Raw genomic sequence first — 26,727 nt, forward strand, 5'->3', positions numbered from 1 at the left:
AAAAAAAAAAGGAAGAAAAAAGTAATAATTTCAGGGGCTTCACAGCCTCCTGGATTTGTGACCCTTGTCATCACAAGGTCAATAATCGTAATAAGAACCCTATACTATAGGAGGAGAGACTGGTTATCTGTGGTTTGCCAAAGGCTAGAATCACAAGAATCAGACTTTTAGGGTCAAAAGGAACTTTCTGGATGATCAAGCCTAACTATTCCCTCACCTACAGGCTGATACGCAGTTGTCGAATCTGTGCGAGAATACCTGCACTGATGCAGCACTCGCTACCTCTCCAGGCAACCCATTCCCTCTGTGGCTGTGGGCAGAGTGGAAATGAGAGCTCGGCGAGGCTGACCAGGCCCACCTGAGCTTACTCTGATAGCCTTCCCTCTGCTTCAGAAGGCCTGTCACCAGTCCTCTCTCCTCTCACACACAGGAAAACAGAAAACCATCCCTCTTACTCTGAGGGTATGATCCCATGATCCAGAGCAGAAAGCAGTCCCATCGGGGGAAACTCGTAGAGTGCTAACGCGGTTTTCATGTCCAAACAGGATGGAGACCCGGGACCCTTTGAGAACATCCCAGACGTTGATAGTGTAATCATTGTATCCAGCAAACAGCAGGCGACCTTGAAGCAGGGTGAGATGATAGCTGTTAAGCCAGTTCCTTGCTTCCTGTTTCTCATTACATGACTGTTACTCACTCATTCAGTAAGCAGTGATTCAGGCGCACTGAGTCCTAGGCACTGTGCTTTGCCTCAAGGATTCAAAGGGGAGAAAGCACAGTCCCTGTCCCTGTTGGAGGATGTGGGGCTGAAAGGAACAGATCACTGTAGCATCCCATGGTAACAGCCATAATGCAAGTGCTTTACACACGTAAAGTGCTATGGGACCAGAGAGGAAGGGGGATTAAGGAGGGCACTGCAGACACAAGTAAATTATTTTTAGTCATTTGCTAGTTAACAACTTGTAAAACTTGTTTAAAGAGAGAAAGTTAAAGTGACATTTGAGTTGGCTCTTGAGGGTTGAATCGGAGTCTGTCATGCAGAGAAGGCAGGGAAAAGATGTTCCAGGCAGTAGCAGGAACTTCACGTGCAGTTAGTCTAGGGATGTGTCTGGGGAAATGGAGTGGTCCAGGTAGCCAGCCTGTTACCTCTGCTTTAACTTTCTATTTTTCTTTCTTTTTTTGACATGATCCTTCTGGAGCTATGCTTTTTCACCAGCAGCTTCCCACAAAGGAGCCATGAGCTTCAAGGCACTGAGAAGGGACTCATTTTTTTTTTCCCTTTGAGTCAGAGTCTCGCTCTGTTGCCCAGGGTGGAGTGCAGTGGCACGATCTCAGCTCACTGCAAGCTCCATTTTCCAGGTTCAAGCGATTCTCCTGCCTCAGCCTCCTGAGTAGCTGGGATTACAGGCATGCGCCACCATGCCCAACCAATTTTTGTATTTTTATTAGAGACAAGGTTTCACCATGTTGGCCAGGCTGGTTTTGAACTCCTGACCTCAAGTGATCGCCTGTCTCGGCCTCCCAAAGTGCTGGGATTACAGGCGTGAGCCACAGTATCCCACCAAGAAGGGACTCTTGCTTCACCTCCACCTTACAGAAAAGTTCCCTTTGGGGCATGAAGAGAAGCAAAGGCTGGGGAGAAAATGCCTGAGAGCATTGTGGAAGTGAATTTCTGACACTTCATTGCCTTGAAGGACAGCATTAGGTGGGTACACAGCCTTCATTTCCCCCTGGAGTGAAGTTGCCTGGGGCAGGACAAAGTGGGAGGTCAGAAGCTCAGAGGAGGAAAACTGGTGCAAATATGGATGATTTCGCATACTGGTCCACAGGAAGCTCAGTTGATGAAAAGGAACTGAGCGATGATGGAGCGCTAGTTTCATTCTGGTCCTGTCTTACAGTCCTGGGAAAAGTTTCTGAAATAAAATCTTACCACTGAGGGAGAAGTCCACGCTGGATGCTCCAAATATGATGCTTTCTTTGGAATAGATGGCAACCTCCCTATCTGCCCGCAGGTCATAGAGGCGACACTGGGGAGCAAATAAATAAAGAAGCACTTACTTCTGGCTTCAGTTTGGTGACGTGATGACCACAGAGCTACAGGTAGGTGCTAGTGACTTGCGTAGTTTAAAAGATGAAGGAAAAACTTCTTAGTTTTCCCTACTGTTATTTCATCCTTTAGTCCCGACTCCTGTTAATTTCTATGAGTCAGTAAAGAGTCCTGATTCCTATTAATCTCTATGAGTCAGTAAAGAAACGGCAAATACAGCAAATTTCTTCAGGTATAAAAACAAAATGAGACCCCACTTTTTTTTCTGATAAAGGACACATGTTCACTGTAGAAAATTTGGAAATATTCAAAAATGTAAACAGAAGGAAATGAAGGTCACCCTAAATCCTAGAGGTATTTACTAATTCTCAGCTGTTTCCTTCAGTCTTATTTGTATTTTATGTGTGTATCTGAATGGGTTGGATGTTTCATTATTGCTTTTATTAACATTAGGTTATACGTCCTTTCTCATATCATTAAAAGAGAACTTCAAAAAACATTATGTACATAGTTATTGAATATATCAGAATCTATTTAGCCAAACCCTGTTGTTTTGGTTGTGTTTAATTTTTCTTTTTTATAAATAATATTATGATGACTATTCTTATATAAAAATCTTTACATGTGTTTCTGGTTTCCTTAGACTAGGTTTCCTTAGACTAGGTTAAGAAATAGAATCCTTAGAAGAGTTATCAGGAAATAGCATGACCAGATCAGAAGTAGAGATGTTTTATTGTATATTTTATTTTGAAATGGAATTTCGCTCGTCACCCAGGCTGGAGTGCAATGGCGCTATCTTGGCTCACTGCAACCTCTGCCTCCCCAGGGTTCAAACGATTCTCCTGCCTAAGCCTCCTGAGTAGCTGGGATTACAGGTGACCGCCACCACGCCTGGCTAATTTTTGTATTTTTAGTAGAGATGGGGTTTCACCACATTGGCCAGGCTGGTCTTGAACTCCTGACCTCAGGTGATCCACCCACCTTGGCCTCCCACAGTGCTGGGATTACAGGCATGAACCACCGTGCCTGGCCAAGTAGAGATGTTTTCAAGCTCTTGATTCATATGGCAAATCTGCCCTCTAGGAGGGTGGTGCCAACTATCCTGACCCCAGGGTTGATCCAGGCTCCCCATCAACCCAACCTCTGGGCATTTCTTTGCTAATCCTAGTGGCAAAATGGGCATCCGATGACTTAAAACTTAAAACATGCAATTCTTTGATTATAGGTGACTTTGAAAATATTTTCAGGTGTTTACTTGCCATTGTGGATTCACTGCTTTGTAAATGACCTGCATTTTACCCTCTTCTTTAATTGGAGTGTTCATTTTATTGTTTATGTAACTCCATTCGTATCTACAGGATTTCAACTTGGTCTGTACTGTATGTGGCAAGAATTTTTCCATATATATTTGTTATAATTATATTTTGTTATAATTTTGTTACAATATATTTCCATATATATTTTGTTATGTATCTTTGATATACAGAAGTTTTAAATTTTCATTATTTCAAAACTCTCAATCTATTCTTTTGTAATTTGTTTAGCAGAAAATTAGAATGAAAACCATTACTTCATAAGATATTTGATATTTTGAAGGCAACAAGAAAATATTTTTTTCTCTTGAAAATAATTTGGCAATCAGTATCAAAAGCCTTAAAACTGGGTCTATTTATGGCTCAGCAAGTTATGTCTGAGAATGCTAAGGAAATGATGAGAGGTACAAAAACACTTATAGTAGTGTTTTTAACAGAAAAAAAAAAAAACCTTGAGAAAAGCCAAATGTCCAAAAATTGAAGACGAATGTCACGTTCATAACATGGAATACTACTCAATCACTAAGAAAATATAATGGAGAGAAATATTTACCAGCCTGGGAAAATGTTCACATTCTGTTAAGTGAAAATGCCAAATTATAAAGCATTTTGTTTGTTAAAAAGAAAAAAAGACAGAAAGGAATTCATCCAACTATGATTTTTCTTGGGTAAGGAGATCAAGGTAATTTAATATTCCCCTAAATTTTCTTTATTGAATACTCGTTACTTCTGTAACCAGAAAAATAGTTATTTTCTTAAAATAAGTTAGCAGATCCCTCTATTGACTAGGAAAAGCTCTCAAAAACTTAGAAACATACCGTAGCGTCATCTGACCCTGAAGCAAAGGCATCTCCACTGGGGTAGTACCTGCAGAGAGAAAGTACTTTATCTACGGTTGTGACTCCTGACCCTGGATGCCCATCAGAACCATGCTAGGCCCTTGGAATCAGAATCTCTATTTCTAGGGACTCAAGGAACATTTGCAGCAGAAGACGGAAGAGGAAGCTCCTATGTCAGGCCCACTGATCTCTAGTTTTCTTCCCTGTTAGTGGGGGACAGTGACACTGGCCTTGCAGAGTGAGATAATATGTGTTGATATCAGGCACAGAACACAGAGTAGACCCCCTATAAATATAGTTTCCCTCAATCACATATCTAATTCCTAAGACTTGGCCCAGAGCTCAGGGATAAGAAAGTGGTTATGAGCACAGACACTGAATCAGACGCACAAAGCCACATTGGATGTCTGCACTGACCATTTACTACCTGCGATACTTTTGGCAAATGACTTCCTCTTGCCCAGCCTCAGTTTCCTCATCTGAAAAGTGAGAGTAATAATGCATATTTTCTGCTGTGAAGATTACATAAGACAGTCCATGCAAAGAATCTGGCATGGTGCCAATTAAATCACATTCAATAAATGATAATTATTACTGCTATAGTCATTGTCTTCTCAATGATTAGTGAGAAATATGGGCCCTAAATTATAAGCCAGAGGCAGAATGAGAGCAAATGTCTTTAAACCCCTCCGCTCTGCCTCACCCAGCTGTGTTCCCCACACCTTCCATTGTTTCTCCTTTTTTTTTTTTTTTTTTTGAGACTGAGTCTCATTCTGTTGCCCAGGCTGGAGTGCAATGGCGTGAACTTGGCTCACTACAACCTCCACCTCCTAGGTTCAAGCGATTCTCATGCCTCAGCCTCCCAAGTAGCTGGGATTACAGGTGTATGCCACTATGCCTGGCTAATTTTTGTATTTTTAGTAGAGACGGGGTTTCACCATGTTGGTCAGGCTAGTCTTGAACTCCTGACCTCAAGTGATCCACCTTCCTAGGCCTCCCAAAGTGCTGGGATTACAGGCGTGAGTCACCGCACCCACGCTGTTTCTCCTTTCTCGTACCAGTGACCTACCCTATAGTTCCACAAAAGCCGCAGGAGGAGGAGTCCTTTTAAAACATTATTTATTCCTCCTACCAGCGGGAGGTGAGAGTCAAAACATTTGGCAAAGGAGAGGGAAGCTTGACTTTGTGTGACTAACTTACATTGGCCTGAAAGACGGGGATGGAGAATTGAAAAGCTGGATGACAGATGTTAACCATTTTCAGCTCTGCCCCAGTCAGTCCATCACAGTGTGGGCACATTATATTTTTGAAAGCATTATGAATTCATGGAGTATCTGACGCATCCATATTCCAATGTCAAAATGATTTCTAGATTAAATACCATTTGGGGCCACATGGGCTATGATTTCCTTCTGCTGGTAGGAAGTTCAGGGACCAAGTGTATTATCTTCCAGGTAATACATAGATTATCTGGAAGAGACCTTTTGTGCCCCCAGTGTCCCCTCTCTCTGTCTCCTATAGCTATGGTTAAATAAAAGCAGGATTTTTTGAATGGCACTAAACCCAGGGGGTGCTACTGGAATTCAGTGGCTAGGCCATAGGGATGGTAAATGTCTTACATGGAACATTCCCTTACAATGAAGAAATGTCCTTCCCAAAATGCTAATACTGAACCCCATTGAGAAACACTAGTTCGTTTTGTTTTGTTTTTCCTGGGCAGGTGGCAGAATGAAAACTATATTTCTAGTCTTCCTGTAGCCAGATGTGGCCATGTGATCATGTTCTGGCTAATGGGATGCAGGCAGAAGTGATAAGCGCAACTCTCCTCTACCAACCAGCTGGAAAGAAGGCATGGTGGTAGGCCAGTGGGGGCAGGAGACTGAGCACCATCCTAGGAAATGGGTTGCGAAGACAGAATGAGCTATCGTAGCAGCTCAGATTTTAAGGTGAGAACAAACTCCCATCTGGTTTAAGTCACTGTGATTTGGGCTTCTCTCATACAAGCCCATGTCCTAATTAATTCAGTGTATAACCAAGGGCATGCTAAGAGAATAATGACAACGCTCAGTATAACCTCAGCCTTGGGTGGACATGGTAGCCAGTGTTCGCCCTGGAAGAAAATCAAAAGGCACCCTGAACATGGCCCACTGAATCAGTCCCTGTAGCATCCGTCACAGAAGTCTCAGCGTCAGTTTACACCATTCCATAAAATAACTTAATTGAAACTGCATTCACTGTATATAGAAAAATGGCCATTTAAAATTTTAAGTTACAGTGTTCCCTATCAATCAAGAATTGGGTTTATGTCTCCATTTATCAACATCTTCTTTTATTTCTGCCATTAAGAATTCATAAATACTTTAAAAAGTTTGGTTACCACCATAACATTTTCTCTCTGTCTCTCTCTCTGACTTCCTCAGTGCAGGAGATCGATGAGTAAACTGGCCATGCAGTGTGGTCTCCCTCACACAGGAGGGCACCTAACTCAGCCCTGGAAACCAGGGGGGCTTTCTGGACAGAGGGAAGCCTAAGTTGAAAACTGATGGTCAAAGGAGGTTAGAAGCAAAGGGTTCAGGGGAGATGAAACAGCTCAGGTGAGAGAGTGTGCATTTTATTTTATTATTTTTGAGAAGGGGTCTCGCTCTACTGCCCAGGCTGGAGTGCAGTGGCACGATCTCAGCTCACTGCAACCTCTGCCTGCTGGGTTCAAGCGATTCTTGTGCCTTAGCCTCCCAAGTAGCTGGTATTACAGTCATGTGCCACCACATTTGGCTAATTTTTGTATTTTTGGTAGAGACGGGGTTTCACCATGTTGGCCAGGCTAGTCTCAAACTCCTGACCTAAAGTGATCCGCCCACCTCGGCCTCCCAAAGTGCTGGGATTACAGGCGTGAGCCACGGTGCCCAGCTGAGTGTGTGCATTTTAAAGCTGTACATTGGCCCTCCATAGCCATGGATTCCACACTCATGGATAAAATCAACTGCAGATTAAAAATATTCTAAAAAAGAAAAAGGAATGTTGCATCTGTACTGAACCTTTTTTCTTGTCATTATTCTCCAAACAATACAGTCTAATAACTATTTACATCGCATTTACACTTACTAGATATTGTAAGTAATTGAGAGATGATTTAAAGTACACGGGAGAATGTGCATAGGCTATATGCAAATACTATACCACTTTAATTTTATTATTTATTTATTTTTATAACTTCAGCATACCCTGAGAAAATACTACATCATTTTATGTAGGATTCTGGTATCTGAGGGAGGTCCTGGAACCAATCTCCCACAGATACCAAGGAATGACTGTACTTTATTAATACACAGGGGCTTATTTTTGTGGCTTTATCTTCTATCTTGCATTTTACTAACTTCAATTACTATCTGTAGTAATTTTCAGATTGATTTCTTTTGATTTTCTAGGTAATTACTGCACAGTTACAATAAGTGAGTCTTTTTTTCTTTTTTCCTTATCCCACATTTGAGGGCAAGAAGTACTAAAGTAAGCAAGTATTCTTTTTTGTTCTTGTTTTTAAGAGAAATAATTCTCGTGTTTTCCCACTAAGTATAATGAAGATTCTTGGGAGTTCTGAGTATAATGAAAATACTTTATAAACTGTCTCAACAGTACCATCTTTCATACGTGGCAAGTCCTGACCTCTCTCTTGGGATCTAATTCATGGATCCTGCCACTTACTTGACATCTTGAATGTTTAACAGGCATCTCAAACCTAATTAGCCCCCAAAAGAACTCCTAAATCCATGTGCAAAGCCCACCTCCTCCCGCTATCCCTCCAGTCTTCCCTGTCTTAGTAAATGGACTGCTGCTTGCTGCCCTCGATAAAAGATGTGGGTTCCCTAAGCTCAGGGTTCTTCTATAGTGCATCCCTTGCATCTGCCAGTGTCATTTGGCCCTTTTCATGTCTCCCTGTGGAACTAGGGCTCAAGTATGCACAAACAGGCTGATAGCCTGGCTACTGCCATTGCTGTGAGTAATAAACTGTCCTTCATCTCTGACCCAGGAGTCTTGTGTCTTCTACCAGCATCCATGAGCTATGACAGCCCAACTTGTTAACTTGTAGGTAGATAAAATCTCAGATATTTCATAATTCTTGACATTTCTCTGTCTCCACCATGTCTTCCTTAGTTCCAGTCACCATCATTTCTTTCTTGAACTCACACAACCACCTCTAACTGGTCATCATATTTCCATTCTTGTTCCCTACAATGTATTCTCCATACAGCCAGTGATCTTTTTTGTTTGTTTGGGTTTTTTTTTTTTTTTTTGAGACACGGTCTTGCTCTGTTGCCTAGGCTGGAGTGCAATGGCACCATCTCGGCTCACTGTAGCCTCAATCTCCTGGGTTCAATCGATCCTCCCACTTCAGCCTCCTCCACACATCACCATGCCCTGCTAATTTTTTTTTTTTTTTTGGTAGAGACAGGGTTGAGCCATGTTGCCTAGCCTTGTCTCGAACTCCTGGGCTCAAGCAATCTGCCCGCCTCAGCTTCCCAACAGAGCGATCTTTTAAAGGCAAAACATGATCAGGTTAGCCACCCCTACCCCTCCCAACTCAAAACTCTCCAGTGACCACCTGGCCTTTTGTTAGGTCCCTTAACCTCTCATCTCTGTGCTCTTCCCCCAGCTCTTTGCTTGCCTGGCTCTTTCATGATCCTGGCCTCAATGTAAAGATCACCTTCTCAGTGAGGCTGTCTTTGACCTCTAAGAAATGACCCATCCCATCTCCCTGTTTTACTTTTATCATAGTAGTTATCAGTATCTGAAATTGTATATTTGTGTTTGGTCTAGTTTGTCTCCTGTAAGAGAATAGAGACCTTGTCCATCTTGTTCACTGATATATTCCCAGTTCCTAGAATAATATCTAGCATATAAATACTTAATAAATATTTATTGAATGAATGGATGAAAAATGCTGATTCAACTTAGGGAGGATATTAATTGCTCCTAATGTAATTAAATTAAAATTCTCCATGAGTTCTGGAGCACTGTTCAGTTCCACCACAATCAGCCTTTCTTCCCGGGGAGGCCTCTCTCAGCCAAGTAAACTGAGTCTGGAGGCGGTTCCTGGGCTAAGGATTACCCAAGCCAGGCAATGCCGGCAGAACAGAGAGGTGGCATGAACATTCTACTCACTGACCGGACACTGTTGATGTCAGATTCATGTGTTTCAAAGGCCTGCACGCACTGGCCGGAGCGCATGTCCCACACCATGGCTTTCTTGTCACATCCCTACAAATGAAAATTAGCCAGAGTTATGGCCACTTTAAGGAATGTCTATAGACAAGGCACGAGTCCCAGTTATATAACACAGACCATTTATTTCCCATTAGCAAATGGTTGACAACACACTTTTCTGAGACTAGCTTTACCTGAGGGCACTTTCCTTAGTCAGAAAGCCCTTAGACGCCTAGAACTAGGTCTTGGGATGGGAGGCAGGAGGGAAGGCACTCGGCTTCCTCTTTTAGCTTGTTTTCTTCTTTTGCACATTTCTGAATGGAGGCAAACCCTCCTTACCCTCCCCCGGGCATCTCCCTTCCTTTCATTTTTCCTTCTTTTCTCTCTTCTCTTTATACTTGCCTCCCTAAGCCCAGAGGGCAAGGCAGGCAGGCAGTGGTGTGTGGTGGGACCTCTCTAGTTGTGACATTAATAAATGGGTTGGCAGTGCCCAAATGGAGCAGCCGAGAGTCCCAGCTTTGTTTTGGTGTATGGGGCAGCCCTCAGCAAAGCTGGAGAGCCAGGTGCCCCGGGCCATCTGCACCCTCAGCAGCATGCTGGGCTGGGAATCTGCAAACCAGGGGCCCATAAGGGTGCTGCCATCGACGCGCAGGGTGGCTTAGGCAAGTCACCTCCCTGGGCGTCTGCCTCAACACCTATAAAGTCAATGCTCTCTTCAGGTTGCTAACATGACCCAGAAGGTCACAGACATGAGGGTTTTTCCATTATCCTATCAAGGCTCTGGGAGTAGTTTGATAAGTTCCTGCAGAGTGGTCATGTTATCAAGCTTAAGTAGTAGAATGTGGACTCTCAATAGTCAAATAGCTTATATGATCAAACAGCTAAAAAGTAACAGCTTAAAACTGGTGTCTAAGTTGTTGGTTTCAACTTGGAGCAGAGGGAGGTGTGTAATGAAGCACCATCACACATCTGAGGAAGGCCCGCTGTGGGAGTTCAGCATCCCGAGTGTCTTTACTGAAAATGTGGGCAAAGAAACCAGAAAGGCCTTCACATCTTTAGAGGACACTCAATTGGATGCAGTTTAGTGCTCTGAAAGAGACAATATGATCTACAGTAATAGCAGTAATTTTTTAAAAACACAGTAGAGTTGAGGAGAGATAAATACAGTGATACCAAGGCACAGGGTTGAAACATCTACACATGGCCAAATACCCAGGAAGAAAATCAGGGTCCCTGCTAACTACAGCTCATACAGCCCTGGCCTGGCTCCCAGGATCGATATGTGGGCAGCCTGGAGCAAAGGTCCCTTATGTGTCCCAGCTGCAGAAGTCACCTGACAGTGTGTGCGTCACTGTCCTGTCTCACCACTGCCTCCTGACGGAGGTGAGACAGGACCCATGGTAAGGTCAGCTGGCCCAGCTCTCTGTCCTTATTCTCAGGCTGGCCCCAGAAAGACTTGCCCCTCCCATTTGCATACACACTGCAAACTCTTCCATCTACTGCTTGTACCATCCTGGGGAGGGGAAGTGCAAATACCACTATGCACTATGGCCAACTTATAGCGGATGCGACTTACAGTCAGGTAGCAAAGCCCTGACCCAGGCACCCTGACTCCTAGTCTAGTGCTTCTCTGAGTCTCTGTGGCCCTGTCTGCCAATTCTGAGCTTTCAAAGCCTCTGTTTCTTGCACCCTGTGATGGGAGGGAGGATGGTGGCTGGCAGGGGTAGGGTAGGAGAGTGCCCCACAGGCCTCAAAGTCCTGGTGGCATCACAGCGTTGCCTCAGCTCAGTAGCCATCTGACCTGCCATGCCCTTGTGCGCATCTCTGATGCTCTCAGATGCTAACTCTCTGCTATTTACTTGAGGAATGACATTTTAAAATGTGGCAGATATGCACCTTGAGTTGCAGCACTCATACAGGAGAACATTCCAGATTACTCTATAGACTGCTAACATCAGTGGCAGAACAGAAGGAGGCCCTCACAGCTTAGCCCTGTAGCTGCCCACCAAGCCCCCGAGAGGGGCCTGGAGCCAGTGCGGTCACTGCAGGAGCTGGGGGTTTAGTGGGGAGTTGAGAACAATTCCTGCAGCCCCTTCTAGGGAAGTGCCTAGGCTAATCCCATGAATGGACAAGAACTGCCACCATAAGCCTCCTTAGTGGACACAGGAGCCCTAGGGAATTTCCACTGGGTCTTTACCCCAGACACGAAGGTGTTTCCAGTTTCTGAGGGGGCCAGGTCCAAGCAGAGGACGTCAGCCCCATGTCCGTGGAAGCTCTGCAGCAGCTGCCCGCTCTCCACGTCCCACAGGGCACATGTGCCATCGCCGCTCGCTGTCAGGATCTGCCCGCAGAAAAGGACAGGAAGTGGGTGGTTGTGGTTATTGCTTATGCCGGGGGCAGTCAATCAGAGGCTTAACGTTCCGCAGGGAAAAGCAGAACACACACACACACACACACACACACACACACACACACACACCCTACCTGCTGTATCTGGGTTCATGCACAGAAATCTCTCTCCTATACAAAGAAGGAAAGAGTGCATTTCCTACACCCTCACAGTCCTTGAGTTGTGTTTATATGGTTGTGGTTATTGCTTATGCCGGGGGCAGTCAATCAGAGGCTTAACGTTTTGCAGGGAAAAGCAGAACACACACACACACACACACACACACACACACACAGGGAAAAGCAGAAAACACACACACACACACACACACACACACACACACACACACACACACACACACACACACACCCTACCTGCTGTATCTGGGTTCATGCACAGAAATCTCTCTTCTATACAAAGAAGGAAAGAGTGCATTTCCTACCCTCACAGTCCTTGAGTTGTGTTTATATGCCTGCCTCCCAGCAGAGCTGAAATCCTGGCGGCCTCATGGTGGTACCTACAGGGCTCTACACATGCCTGGCTCGTAGGAAGTGTTCCGTGAGTCTCTACTGAGTGTTTAAAACCTTCGATGCCTCCCACTGCTGTGCAGGCCAAAAACTTAAAGTGCTTCTTGGATACTGATGCATACACATCACTGGGCTGCTTGCTAATAGAGTCTGGGGTGGGGCCTGAGCGTCTACACTTCTCACAGGCTCCCAGGGAATGCTGAGGCTGGTCACGGGGCACACTGGGAGCAGCAGGGGTCTAGGCAGCATCTTGTTGGACATTCTCTGTTGCTGCTTTTCCCGAGCACAGTGCTGCCCAGAGGCTTCCCAGGACCACTGACGGGTGCCAGAGGATATTCACGCATACACAGGTTCAAGAAACATCTGCTGTGTGCTGACAGTGTCTGCCAGGCACTCTGCTAATGCATGAGGGTTTGCAGAAAGATTGTGTCTCAGTTTCTGTTCTCCCAGAACTCAGTTTAATAGGATTGCCAGTAAGAATGAAACCAACATAATTCCCCATCCCTGTGTTAAACAATTCTGGGACCAGGCCAACTTTCCTGTTACTATGTTAAACCATATTGAGACCAAGTAAAAATAACTTAACTGCTTGCTGCAGAAAATACCTGCTCCTGGGAGAAAAGACTGTGAATCGATTAGACAACTTACCAAGATTAACAGCTTGCTCATCCAGACTCAAAGACTGTTCGCTTGCTGGGCTCACCAATCCAAAGCTAAAACGGCCTTGCAAGACCCACCTTAAAATCACCAAGCCTGGACCCTGAAATCCTCTAAGTACCCTTCCCTAATTCCTCCATTTTCAGAACCTACTAAGATTCTGCCAAGTGGAGGTTCTCCCTTACTGTGGCAGGTCAGATAACCTTAGCTTTGCTTGGTTGCAAGTATTTCTGATGTTCGCTTGGGGAGTTGACATCACCAGTAGACAAGGATCAATGACAACAGCATGAGAAGTGCTGGGATCCAGGTGTGCACACAGGAGGGTCCCAAACCCAGTGTGGTGATATCTGAGTTGGTCTTCAAGGAAGAGTGAGAGCTGGCCAGGTGAAAGAAGGGAAGGGGAGAGACAAACTCCAGGGGGGCCTATGTCTGCACTAAATGAAAGGTGAGCCCGTTCACAGGTGGGGACTCAGTCTGAAGCCAAGAGAGCACTCTGGAAGCTTCTGGGCAGGAGAATGAGAAAAGCAAACGTATGTTTTAGGAAACTCTGGCAGAGGCCCAAAGAGCCTCTGGATAGCTTACAAGTACAAAGGTCAGCCATAGAGTAAAGGCACACAGGGGTGCCCAGGGAAAGACATGGGGACAGGGCTGGAATTTTACTTTTTGTCACTGCCAGTGTGTATGAGGCCTGGGCTCTGGCTGAGCATACCTTCCTGGGATTGGGAGAAAGGCAGTGAGGACTCAGGGTTCGGGGCCCTCATAGGCCCAGCTGGCGGCATCACAGAGCCCTGGAGCCAGCTGGGTACTGACAGCAATGGAGGGGACCTGCAAGGGAGAAGCTCTCCCTGCCTTCTGGCTGCTCCACAGGGCCTGGGTGAGGTGATAAGACCGTGGAGGAAGTGGCTCTTGCAGCATAAGTGTCCACAAGAGAGCCCTTTGCGGATGATTACTGATGGCTGAGGAAAGAAAAGAGGAATCAGGCCTTATGCACCGCTAGCATGCAATGCAACCACTGACCACACCACACCTTCAATTTCCAGCTGCTGATGGGATCTCTCCTCCTCACCCTTTGCCCCCTTTCCCTTTTTCTTCCCCTCTCTCTTATATGTTAGGCCTTGAACATAAAGAATCTCATTTTTTTCCCAGCACTTTGGGAGGCTGAGGTGGGCGGATCACCCAAGGTCAGGAGTTCAAGACCAGCCTGGCCAACATGGTAAAACTCCAACTCTACTAAAAATACAAAAATTAGCCAGTTGTAGTGGCTCACGCCTGTTGTCCCAGCTACTTGGAAGGCTGAGGCACTAGAATCGCTTGAACCTGGGAGGCGGAGGTTGCAGTGAGCTGAGATCACGCCACTGTACTCCAGCCTGGGCAACAGAGTGAGACTTGGTCTCAAAAAAAAAAAAAAAAAAACTCATTTTTTTTTCTTTTTTTGCAGGGAAGGAACAAATTACAAGGAGGGGAATCTGCTCCCGCCCTGGTGTTGCACCCACTGGCTGTCCACAGGACCCCCTCCAGCCTTGACTTCCCTCAGGAGGCCTGCATACATCCAACAAGATGACTTAAGCTAGCAAAGTAGCTTATGGACACACAAAACCTGAACCGAGGCTGAAATTTGGGTACTCATATTTTGTTGGATGCTCAAATTCCCTCAATCTCTCCTGGCCCACACCCACTAGTGGCTGTTCCAACTCACTGCTTTCCTAATAACACTTGCAGTAACTTACAGTTTATTTTGAGACACCAGGTCCAAACAATTTTCTTTAAGCAACTACCCCAGTCTTGCTCTTTAATTTAGGAAATTTTCATACCATACTGTTTGATCAAAGAAATGAATAGTTTTTAAAAGTTAAAAGTAGATTTCTAATACTTTTCAATTTTGTGTTTCTGATCTTCATTATAATATAAGTAAAAATAAAGTTTAAAGACCAAACATTTATTCATATAAATGCATTAAACAGAACCCCTAACTCATTGTCACTCATTTGTTCTGGAATGCAGAGAATTTGTAAGTTTAATACCATAGTCTCATACCAGCCGCTTGAGTTTCTCTTTTATCAACCTAGATCCCAGGGATTGAAGAAAGCTGGAGGTTCATGAGTTCAGTAGTACCCAAACTAGGCCATGTATCAGCATCATCCATGAAGCTTTGTGTTAATAATAATAAAATTGGCTGGGTGCAGTGGCTCACGCCTATAATCCCAGCACTTTGGGAGGCAAAGGCAAGTGGATTGCTTGAGCTCTGGAGTTCAAGATCAGCCAGGGCAACACACCAAGACCCCATCACTACAAAAAATACAAAAATTAGCCAGGCATGGTGGCGTGTGCTTGCAGACCCACTACAGGCCTACCAGCTACTTGGGAGGCTGAGGCAGGAGAATCACTTGAGCCTGGGTGGTGGAGGCTTCAGTGAGCCCAGACTGTGCCACTGTACTCCAGCCTGGGTACTAGAGTGAGACCCTGTCTCAAAAAACAAACAAACAAACAAACAAATAATAAGAGTTAACGCTTACTGATATTTACCAGGGACTACACTATGTACATGAATCATCTAATTTAAGCCTCAGAAAACCTTATGCAGGACAGATTTACTACTTTACTATCCTCATGTGCAGGTGAGAAAAATGAAGCACGCAGAAATTCAAACGCTGTCTAGGATCACCAGCTAGAACACAGCGGAGCCAAGATCCAATCCTGCTGTCTGCCTCCAGAGCCACCCTTGACCTACCCTGCCTCCCAGGCCGCGTCCCCGCCGAGGTAGCCAGCTGTGACTTCCCTTTATCTCCGGCTAAGCTGCTTGTTGGAAAAGAAAGCACTTTCTCACCTACTGGTGCCCCCTTTCATCCCCAACCCTGCCCCGGGGCAACACAGAGCGAGTCTGATGGGTCTCCACAGAGGGGCTTCAGATGCCTGATGGTCGTGGTAGCCCCCTGAGCCTGCCTTCATCCAGCCTAAATGTCCTCTGTTGCTTTGGTTTGCCTCAGGCCCAAAGACATCTCATTTTGGCCACTGCACCAGTCAGTGGCCACAGCGCCCCCTGGTGAACAAGTCTGCAAGATTCCTGGTTAGGCTCAAATAATAGGTGTAAACAACAGGGGCACAATGGTGACACTGCAAGTCCCAACATCCCTCCAGTCAGCAATTGAACAATTACCCAGCCACCTGACCTCCCTGCCTCTAACCTCCCCATCCCTCCTGACATCAATTCACTGAAGCCAGAGTAAACTATGGAAGGCTTTAATCTAACTCAGACACTTTTCTCTTTTAAACAAACCAAAATCTGACTCACCCCTGCAAGGGCTCCCGTCACCTACAGGGTCCAGCCCAGGCACTCAGGGAGCCCTGGGATCTGGCCCCACCCACCTCTCGGCTGCCTGCCTCCCACTGTGCTCCCTCACACTCTGTGGCCGCCTGGAGTGGCAGCGGTCCCTCTTCACTGGCAGCAGCAAGTCTGTGACCAACCCCTCCTGCTCGGAGCTCCCCAGTTCCCCCACTGTCCAACCATTATTGGTTTTCATGAAGGTCCCTGAGGGCCAAGACTGAGCTTTTGGCCCCAGAGCCACGTGGTATCTGGCAATATGGGTAGTAGGTACTGAGAAGGTTTGCTGAATAAGTGTGAATAAATAAACGATGCGGTGCTTTCACCACTTGCTAAAGAAAACTTAAAGTGATAAAGGTTGTGTTGTTTTCACTGTAGTGTATTTAAAGTAGAGCAAAGATTTAATATGGTGAAGCATTTTCTTTTTGCATTGGTTAAAACAGGACTGTAAAGTGAGATGCATGCAGTGCACAGCTCTGAAGCCCGACAGCTCAGTGAAGCTTTACACACGTTAGCACGCAGACCAGGGCACAGTAACTGCCTGCACCCCAGGGGGTTCCCTGCTCCACTCCCACCCTCGCCAAGTCAATCAGAGGAGGATTTTCAATATGCCATGCAGTTTTATCTCAACACTACCAACAATCACTAGCCCCAACCTTCTCATGTTATTAAAATAATAATAACTAATGAGAAACAATAGGAGCTTCCTCTTAGAGCAAACTACTGGAGCACAGCCATCTTGTTCAGAGAGACGCCGAAAGCTTCCTCTCCTCTCAGCTCCTCTTTAGTGCTCCTTGGCAGGTCAACCTGACACCGGGGGCTGCCTATTTACCTGCATGTCAGAGTTGGTGAAGCTGCAGGCCGACAGGTAGTTGGTGTGCATAGCAACAGACTTCTTTTTGGCAGCCATGTTTTCATTTTTGTCAAACGTCAAGGGGTACACAGAACACTTATTATCCAAACCACTAGGATGGAAAGAAAGAAGTACCAAAGATTAATGCAGAGTCACAGAATATGTGTCTACTTTTCCAATCACATGAACTTTTCAACATATTCTCTTTAGCAGTATCATATATTGTACCCTTTCCTCCAACTTTTACTTTGAAGATTTTCTTTTCTTTCTTTCTTTTTTTTTTTTTAAATAGAGACAGGGTCTTGCTCTGTTGGCCAGGTTGGTCTTGAACTCTTGGCCTCGAACTCGTGGCCTCAAGCAATCCTCCTTTGGCCTCCCAAAGTGCTAGGATTACAGGTGTAAGCCACTGTGCCTGGCCAGTTTGAAGATTTTCAAACCTACTGTAAAACTGAAAAAAAAAATAGTATACTGAACACCCAGATCCCTTCCCTTAGATTCACAGACTTAACATTTTGTCATATCTACAGGAGCAAATTCTGAACCATTTGACTGCAAACTGCAGATATGACATTTTCCTTCTAAACACTTCCACTTGCAAATTTACATCTCCTAAAAATAAGAACATTCTCCTGTCTATCTACCACATCCTTATCACATTTGAGAAAATCAACAAAACCTCCATAACACCATTTAATAAGCCAGCCATATTCAATCTTCCCTGATTGTCGCCAGGATCCAGGGACCAACCAAGGCTCACATATTGCATTCATTTGTTATGTCTTTTTAAGATCTTTTAACCTAGAACAGACACTACCTACTGTTTGTTGTTCATGACAGGAAATCTTAGATTGGCTGTTTATAGAATGTCGCATATGGTGGATTTGTCAGATGGTTTCTTAATGGTTAAAGTACTGTAGAACATTTTGCCAATAAGAGTATCAAGGTGCTACTGTGTACTTCTTTCTTATTGCTTCATGTCACAAGGCTTGTAATGTCTCTTCCAAGATTGGTAAAGCCAACTTTGATTACTTGGTTAAGGTGGACCACTAGATATCTCCAGGGTAAAGGTAATTTGTTTGTAATCAGTAATAATCTGTGGTGTGATATTTTGAGACCATAAAAATATCATTTTCTCCAACCACCTTTCATACAAAGGCTTTACATGATTATCCTTGCTTGAATCAGATATTACTTTAGGGGTGCAAAAGGGTGATTTATTTTGATAATGTCTTCCGTATTTATTAGCTGGTGTTTTTCTGTAATGAAAAATCCTCCTTCCCAGTATCACTGTACACCCATAAATTTGTTTTTTTTTCTTAATTGTATCATGATCCATTATTATCATTACTACATTTGATGCTCAAATTACCCCAAATTTGGGGCCTCTTCAAGCCAGCTGTGTTTTTTTTTTTAATATATGTATGACCCCTATTGGTCCTTGAACGTTCCTTTACTTTCTAGAACAAGAAAATATCCTAGCCTCACTTTATTCTTTTCCTCCCAAAGACCTAACCTCAGCCTTACCCTAAGGTGCCCTGCTTTCTTTTTGTAGGGAACAATATTTAAAATGGGGTCACTTTTTTCTGAGGCACTGGGAAAGCCAAGGGTCCCTTCTGCTTTTCCAGCTGCTTGGGAGGTACACAGGTGTATTCTTGGGTAGTTTCTTATCAGTAATTAGCTTTGGCAAACTTGTTTATACAATGTGCGGAGGAGGCTGGGCACGGTGGCTCACATCTGTAATCCTAGCACTTTGGGAGGCCCAGGCAGGCCAATCACCTGAGGTCAGGAGTTCAAGACCAGCCTGGCCAACATGGAGAAACCCCATCTCTACTAAAAATACAAAAATTAGCTGGGCAAGGTGGCAGGTGCCTGTAATCCCAGCTACTTGGGAGGCTGAGGCAGGAGAATTGCTTGAACCTGGGAGGTGGAGGTTGCAGTGAGTTGAGACCACACCACCGCACTCCAGCCTGGGCAACAGAGTGAGATTCTTTGACTAAAAAAAAGAGAAAAAAAAAAAACAGAATGTGTAGAGAATGATTTGCACTTAGGCTATGGTAAGGGGACAAGCATGCTGTGGACTATGGTCCTCCCTGACCCCTGAGCTGGGATACATCCTCCCCATCCTGAGTAATTTCTCTGTTGAGATACTTATTACTTAGGGTTATTCGCATTGCTATGAGAAGCAGGAAGGTTTTGCAGGGTGATGCATCCAGTGTCGAATCTCTGCTTTAGTACCTAACTAATGTTGTGATCTTGGTTACGTATTCATCTTTGAATTCCAGTATGACACCTGGCCCAGTGCCTTGCACACATGAGATCATAGTAAGTGTACAATACCTGAATGAAAGCTTCTTGGGGATATGGCTCCTAAATAAGAAATACTTGTATATATAACCAATTGACACATTTTTGGGGGAAAGGGGATTGTGGCAATACCATTTGGGTTTTAGCTTTCAAGTTTGGAAACAACTGAGAGGGAGACCCAGGAGCCAGGTAAATTGAGATAAAAAATATCCCCATTATTACCTACAATGACTTTTAGAGAATGTGGCATCGGTGTGGGTCTATTACAGATAACAGAGTCACAGGGATGTCACACAGTCATGGTTGGGAAACATTATGTCAGACTTACCACTAGAAACTCAAATGAATCACAGCTGCTCTTAGCAGTTTTGGGAAAGGTCTGGGAAGGGGAGATGGTACTTTTACCTGCGATAAGGAGTCAGTATTAGTTTCGTCTTTGACGCTCTCTCATCCACTAGACCGCCACATTTTGAAAAATGCCTTCACAAATGTTCATGCCTTGAACTTCCTCTGTTTGGCCCTCGTAACAGCCAGTGAGGCAGCCAGGAAAGGTGCTAGCACCTCCCACATGCCAGGGTGGGGAAACAGAGATGACAAAGATCAGGGCGCCAGCCATCCCTCCACTCTGAATTCTGTTCTGCACCACGCTGAGTCACCAGAAAGCTATCTATCCGGGCCTGGTAAGGCTGCTCTCTTCCTTCCGTCCCGCTACCCCCATGGGAATTCTTCCGCTGCATTCCATTTAGTGAGGGTAAAATTAAGAAACAGCCACAGCATCATTTCCTAAACTACTGTTGAAGACATTGTTCACTGTTATCATATTCACTACACATTGCAGAAGGGCCTACCCAATATATTCTTTCTGTAATTTAGAACTGCATATCTAATATTTCAATATTGGATATTGACAGATTATGTAACACATCCAGCTCTATGCATCTGCTAAAATTCATGTCCAACTAGAAACATATTACCCTAGGATATAAAAAAATGTGGAGAACTTACGATTCCTACTGAGTAGTGAAGAACTGACACTGCAGCAGAGGTCTGGCTTTTGCCCTCAGCTACTTGGAAGTGATCTCTGGGCCCCTGGAATGTCCTGCCTGGTAAGAGTGGCTTGGTTTGCTTGGGGGCTCTGGCCACCAGTTTAATAATGTGATTTATGATGGGGGCTTTTGGATGCATCATATCAGGTCTGATCTCCAGAGGAACTTGAGACTAAAGGTATCTGCCCGAACTTCTAGAGACTGAAGACTTTATAAAGGTAAACCACACAGGCAGTGTGTGGTCAAGCCCCCAATAAAACCTCTGGACACCTAAGGCTCAGAGGAGCTTCCCCAGCTGGCAATACTCTGCATGTATTACCATACACCGTGGCCAAGAGGAAACAACGCCGTCAGTGACCACACCAGGGAGACGATGACTCGCAGCTCCATGTCTGGATGCCTCCTGGCTTCTGCCCCAGGGGTCTCCTCCTTTGGTTGGTTCTAATTTGTACCCTTACACTGTAATAAAACTGTGGTAGTAAGTACAGCACTTTCATGAGTTTGGCGAGTTGTTTTAGTGAATTCCTGGGGTTGTGGGGACCCTCAAATTTGCAGCCAGTATCTGAAGCAAGGGGCAGTCTTGGAACTGTGCCTTCTAACTGGAGTTGGCTAAACTCCTTTGCACCAACCTTATAATTGTGGCCTATTTCTCTCTTGCTTGCTTTCTCTAATAGATGTGTTACACATGTAGTACAAATATATATATATTTACATATATATCTTTTATTATAGCACCTCTTATCCTTTTAGGAAGTAGATGGTAATAAATTTTATATAAATACTGGCATCCATCTATAAAGTGGAGACACAATCCACTTTTGAGCTATTTTAAAAATTAAAAAATATGGGCCGGGTGCAGTGGCTCACACCTGCAATCTCAACACTTTGGGAGGCTGAGGCAGGCAGATCACTTGATGTCAGGAGTTCGAGACCACCCTGGCCAACATGGTAAAACCCCATCTCTGCAAAAAAAAAAATACAAAAATTAGCCAGACGTGGTGGTGCACGCCTGTAGTCCCAGCTACTTGGGAGGCTGAGGCAGAAGAATTGCTTGAACCCAGGGAGCGGAGGTTGCAGAGAGCCGAGATCATGCCACTGCACTCCAGCCTGGGTGACAGAGCCAGACTCCATCTCAAAAAATAAAAAGAGTGAAATACATGTATGTGAACATGGGCTCCAAAGGGACAAGTGGTCTTGGCCACTGGAAGGAGAGTGAGACTATGTCCCCAAAGCAGCCACCCTAAGGGAAGGGACACTGGAGAAGATGGTTGGTGTGACTGGCTGGAGAGGGCTCCAAAGCATTTGCCTGGGGACTCGGGCTTTTCCTCTTTAAAATAAAATTCTTTCTTCCTGATTATAAGAAGAAAAATCCCCATAGTCCCATCATCCAGAAAGAACTACTATTTTATTTGGTATAGTTCCTCCCAGCCTTTATAATATGACTTTTTTTTTTTTTTTTTTTTTGAGATGGAGTCTCGCTCTCTCCCCCAGGCTGGAGTGCAGTGGCGCGATCTTGGCTCACTGCAAGCTCCGCCTCCTGGGTTCACGCCATTCTCCTGCCTCAGCCTCCCGAGTAGCTGGGACTACAGGCACCCGCCACCGTGCCCGGCTAATTTTTTTTTATTTTTAGTAGAGACGGGGTTTCACCATGTTAGCCAGAATGGTCTCGATCTCCTGACCTCGTGATCTGCCAGTCTCAGCCTCCCAAAGTGCTGGGATTACAGGCGTGAGCCACCACTTGCCCGGCCTAATATGCCTCTTTTTAAAAACATGGCTGAGATACTGTGGCAGAAATATTTTGAATGGTCTCAGAGTTGTTCAACACAGGGACTGGGAATTATGTCGGTTTCAGTTCTCATTGTTAACCCTGTTAAACTGAGCTCCAGGAGAATAGGGAATAAGGCACACTCTTCCTAGTAATCTTGATGCCCTTTTCACACAGTGTAATTGAGAATTTTCCTTTTTAATGGCTGTATGATATTCCATTCAATTCGTGTACCACAATTCACTTAAGTTTTCTTGGATGGGTATGTTGGTTCCTTTTTCCTTTCCTTTTCTGCTTTATTTTATTTTTGAGACAGGGTCTTACTCTCACCCAGGCTGGACTGCAGTGGCATGATCACAGCTTACTGTAGCCTTAATCTCCCAGGCTCAAGCAGTCCTCCCACCTCAGCTTCCAGAATAGCTGGGTCTACAGTTGTATACCACCACACCCAGCTAATTAGATTTTTTTTTTTTTTTTTTTTTTCTGTAGAGACAAGGTATTATTATCACATTGCCCAAGCTGGTCTCGAACTCCTGGGCTCAAGTGATCCTCCTGCCTCTGCCTCCCAAAGTACTGGGATTACAGGCAAGAGTCACCACGCCTGGTACTTTTTGCTTCATTTTTAAAAATACTACAATTAATGTCATTGTCCATATGGCTTTTCTATGTTTTGGATCATTCCTTTCAAATGAGTTCCTGGATGTGGAGTCACCAGATCAAAGGCTATCCATTTTTCAAGGCTTCTGACAGACATTACCAAGTTGCTTTCCAAAATGTTTGCAACGTTTATGGTTCTGCCAAAAGCATTTGAGAGAGCAGGAGATAGGTTTGAAATGTAACTACTGTCAGTTTGTAATGAAAATAATTATGAAAGAGAGTTTTATGGTTTTGTTTTTTTTTTTTTTTTTTAAAGAGATGGGGTCTTGCTATGTTGCCAGGGTGGACTTGAACTCCTGGGCTCAAGTGATCCTCCCACCTCAGCCTCCCAGGTGGCTGGGATTACAAGCAGGCACCACTGTGCTGGCTTATGGTTTCTTCTTTGATCAAGTTCAGGGAAGGATTTAGCATACTGCTAAACAATTAAACAACAAAAACTGTGAGTTCTTGTTTGTTTGTTTTTGCCAAGAGAACAGTATTCTATGGTTAACACAAATTCTGAAAAGCTGCTGTAGCTCCAACTTACCCACAAGCAATGGCACATCCCGATGGGGCATAAGCACATGCCATCACCCACGTGCAGGGCATGGTGACCGCGTGCTCCTGAAACACAGCACAGAGTGAACAACTAGCACTTCCACACAAAAATCTTTTTTTTTTTTCTTTTTTTTTGAGATGGAGTCTCACTCTGTTGCCCAGGCTGGAGTGCAGTGGCACAATCTCAGCTCACTCCAACATCTGCCTCCGGGGTTCAAGCAATTCTCCTATCTCAGCTTCCTAACTGGGATTACAGGCATGCGCCACCATGCCAGGCTAATTTTTGTATTTTTAGTAAAGATGGGGTTTCGCCATGTTGGCCAGGCTGGTCTCGAACTCCTGACTTCAAGTGATCTGCTCACCGTGGCCTCCCAAAGTGCTGGGATTACGGGTGTGAGCCCCCATGCCCAGCCACAAAAATCTTAATGTTTAAATTTTAGAAAATAAAATCACCAGATGCCTACTGAATTACATTATAGTTTCAAAAGGAAGTGGTACGGGGTAAAGATGGGCTCAAGACTTATGAGGGGACTCTTATAATCAACTTGATGTCACATATTCGAAAAGTTAAAAAGCTCAACTAGCAAAAGCAAAAAAAAAAAAACCTTTCATGTTTTACTTCCTCCTTAATGTCATACTCCCTTTGTTCCTCTGCCTATCAGGGCCCCTTTTCTTTGGAAGGTATGCCCAAATCTCCTTTCAGATATATACTTTTCCTTATTTACTCTGATTTCCATTTTCAAAATATACTCTGGAATGACTTTTTATATTTGTATTTTAAGTCTGTTTACTTGTGAATCTGCAAGAGCCTGTGTCCACTATGAGCCCTAAACCATCCCAGGGAAGGTATGAATGGGTCAGGGGAGGGGAGGGTGATCTTGGGTTGTGCTCACGGATAATGAGAACTGGTAAAATGGAAACATTAAGAACTAAGCACAACAGTCCCTGGCTTCTGGCTTCACAGAGGAAGAATGAGAACCACCGTGGCACACATGGCTGGCCTGTGTGCGGTTGCACATCTTGGTGGTGGTAGAACCAGGACCAGGGTCCACGTCTCCCATGGGAATAAAACCTCAGGCTCAGATGTGTTGGAAACATGGCTCTGTTGTTTGCATATCTGCATGCAGGAGGATAGGGGTGACTCAGCCAGCCAGCAGCCAGGGATGGGCGCACTTAGTTCTTAATGCTTCCAATGTACATTCAAGTGCTGGTCTTCTTTTCTGTTATAATTACATGTGTTTTTGTGGGGAAACACAGGCCCCAATACTGTCTGCCCAAATACTATTGTCGATAGCAGCCTGGTAGGCTTTCAGAGGCCAAGAATAATCTACTGCTCTCCAGAGAACGAGCTGAGGTAGCCACTCTCAGCACAGGGTATCCCAGGCCCCTTTCCTCACAAGTAATGGCTATATTCCCTGCCACGGGCCACAAGTGGCACCCTCGGCTCCCCAGAAATCAGTCTGTGCTCTATGCCAGGATAAGGTGGAAACAGAAGCAACTACACCCCTGCATAGTCCAGAAGGTGCTGAGAGAGATGAAGGCTTCCAAGGAGCTAGGCGCTGTATAGCAAAGCCCTGTGCAGATTGCTGTCATTTTTATTCCTCAGGGGACTGACCATTAGGGACTCGACTCTACAAAATGGTTTCGGCCCCTCACTTGACCAGGTCATGTACCGGCTGCTTCCCATGACACTGACTAAACACATTCAACAATGCAGAATATGGCTGCTGTTCACTATGAGACAGAGACAGGTCTCATGTTTTTCATAGCATAAAGGAAGGCTTTCTAAATAAATATAGGAATTCTTATTTAATACACAATACTCTTTATTGTAAATGCCAATGCAATGCAGGTGTTCCAGCATACCTGCACATAGGTTTTGGTCTTATTTTCATTAAGAGCTAAAATTTAAATCTAAGTTGAGCTGTGCATGCCCAAGCCAGACTTGCAAGGGGATCAGACTGCATCACAGGGTAGCTCTGCCCAGTCCCACTGCAGCCTCATCTTCCCCACCCTCCACGTGTTCATTCCCACAGGGCTATGGAGTCTGGTCAAAGAGAGGGGAGAGAGAATGGAGAATTTTGGTGCCTCTTATCACTCAGAAGACAAATAGTACATGCAGTTGCACATGTGGTTGCAAGTTTTCCATGCTTTGCCCATTTCCATGTTGGTATTGGCAGCCCCTATGGTGGCTCTAATTGTCCTCTTGGGGCGAGAGGGGAATAAATGCTGCAATGGGCTGGCTGAGCTGTTCAAACACGGATAGGCCTTCTTGGGGTTTCCATCCGTAGAGGCAACTGCTTGCAGGGATACATGGAGAGAAATCAGGACAGGGCCGGGCAGCTGGACCAGAGCACCTTTAAGTAGGCTGGGATTCTGAAGCCTCTATAACGTGGCTGGGAACAATGCCTCACCTTGTTTGTGGTGAAGGAATCCCACACGATCACCTTCCCATCCTGGAGGGAGAAGAGCAAACAGTTTAGGGGTTGTCAAGTTCTTACAGATTACTGCTGAGAATTCCTCATAAAAGCTGTGTCCAGCAGGGCAGTGTGAAGTAGAAAGCCAGAATGAGGATCTGGATAATCAAGACCCCCTAATCTATCCATGAAAAAAAGTGGGGTGAGTGCAGGAGGGGCTGGATGTTCCAGCAGAGCCAAAGGATCAGTTCTCAACCTTACATTCCTTGGAAAGATACAACTACAGGAAACAACACGCAGACACTTCTTTCATACCATTTGCAAACCACGCACAAATTGTTGGTACACTATCGTCACCTGCCATACCCTAAATGTCAACAAATTATACAGGGGAAAGATAAAGCTGACATTACCTTTAGGCACCTGACAGGTAAATAATAAATCTTTTTCTCCCACAACATCTCCACTGCTTTGTCCTTTCCCCGATTTGCTTTGGAGTCCATGGTCCCTGCGGCACCATCCAGGAACCCCCCTCCCCATTCTCTGTCCATTTCTCTGCCAGGGACAGCTGCGGAGGGGGCTGTATGGGCCTGAGATCAGTCTAATTCCTCCAGGTGCTCACAGATGTCACAGCTCCAGCTCTGACATTTCACACCTACACTGAGAACAACATGCGATATGCACCCATCGTGGTGGGAACCCCTGTGGGCAGCCAATCAGTAAGCAAACAGCACTCCCTGCCAGGGTGAACGCAGAGCTGGCCCTGCCACAGAGAATGCTGCCACTTTCACTGTAACCCAGCTGTGGCCTCCCATGGGTGTGGGTTGTGACTACAGCATCATCTATTTGTAATGAAAA

The 26,727-nt window shown here is 45.0% G+C and overlaps 1 protein-coding gene across 4 annotated transcripts in view, besides 2 other annotated features; it reads right to left on the reverse strand.

Annotated features, from left to right (window-relative positions):
• GNB5 (G protein subunit beta 5) overlaps positions 1-26,727 on the reverse strand; it is a 76,293-nt gene that overhangs the window by 8,918 nt on the left and 40,648 nt on the right. For all 4 annotated transcript variants that reach the window (NM_016194.4, NM_006578.4, NM_001379343.1 and 1 more), the window contains 8 exons: positions 25,867-25,908; positions 23,442-23,518; positions 17,123-17,255; positions 11,596-11,739; positions 9,361-9,452; positions 4,179-4,227; positions 1,931-2,027; positions 456-622 (listed from right to left, as the gene is read on the reverse strand). In NM_016194.4, the coding sequence (NP_057278.2) occupies positions 456-622; positions 1,931-2,027; positions 4,179-4,227; positions 9,361-9,452; positions 11,596-11,739; positions 17,123-17,255; positions 23,442-23,518; positions 25,867-25,908 (801 nt within the window). The remainder of the gene's footprint in view (positions 1-455; positions 623-1,930; positions 2,028-4,178; positions 4,228-9,360; positions 9,453-11,595; positions 11,740-17,122; positions 17,256-23,441; positions 23,519-25,866; positions 25,909-26,727) is intronic.
• Positions 15,848-15,947: an enhancer, noted in NCBI's record as "active region_9423". NCBI's record gives its function as "activates an Ori minimal core promoter by ATAC-STARR-seq in GM12878 lymphoblastoid cells {active_cell/tissue: GM12878}" and the evidence as "EXISTENCE:reporter gene assay evidence [ECO:0000049][PMID:35858748]".
• Positions 19,604-19,773: an enhancer, noted in NCBI's record as "experimental_39709 CRE fragment used in MPRA reporter constructs". NCBI's record gives its function as "activates a minimal promoter by MPRAs in K562 erythroleukemia cells, with activity observed for the introgressed 15:52435903 variant allele {active_cell/tissue: K562}" and the evidence as "EXISTENCE:reporter gene assay evidence [ECO:0000049][PMID:34662402]".

This window comes from Homo sapiens, chromosome 15 (genome assembly GCF_000001405.40).
Source record: "Homo sapiens chromosome 15, GRCh38.p14 Primary Assembly".
NCBI lineage: Eukaryota > Metazoa > Chordata > Mammalia > Primates > Hominidae > Homo > Homo sapiens.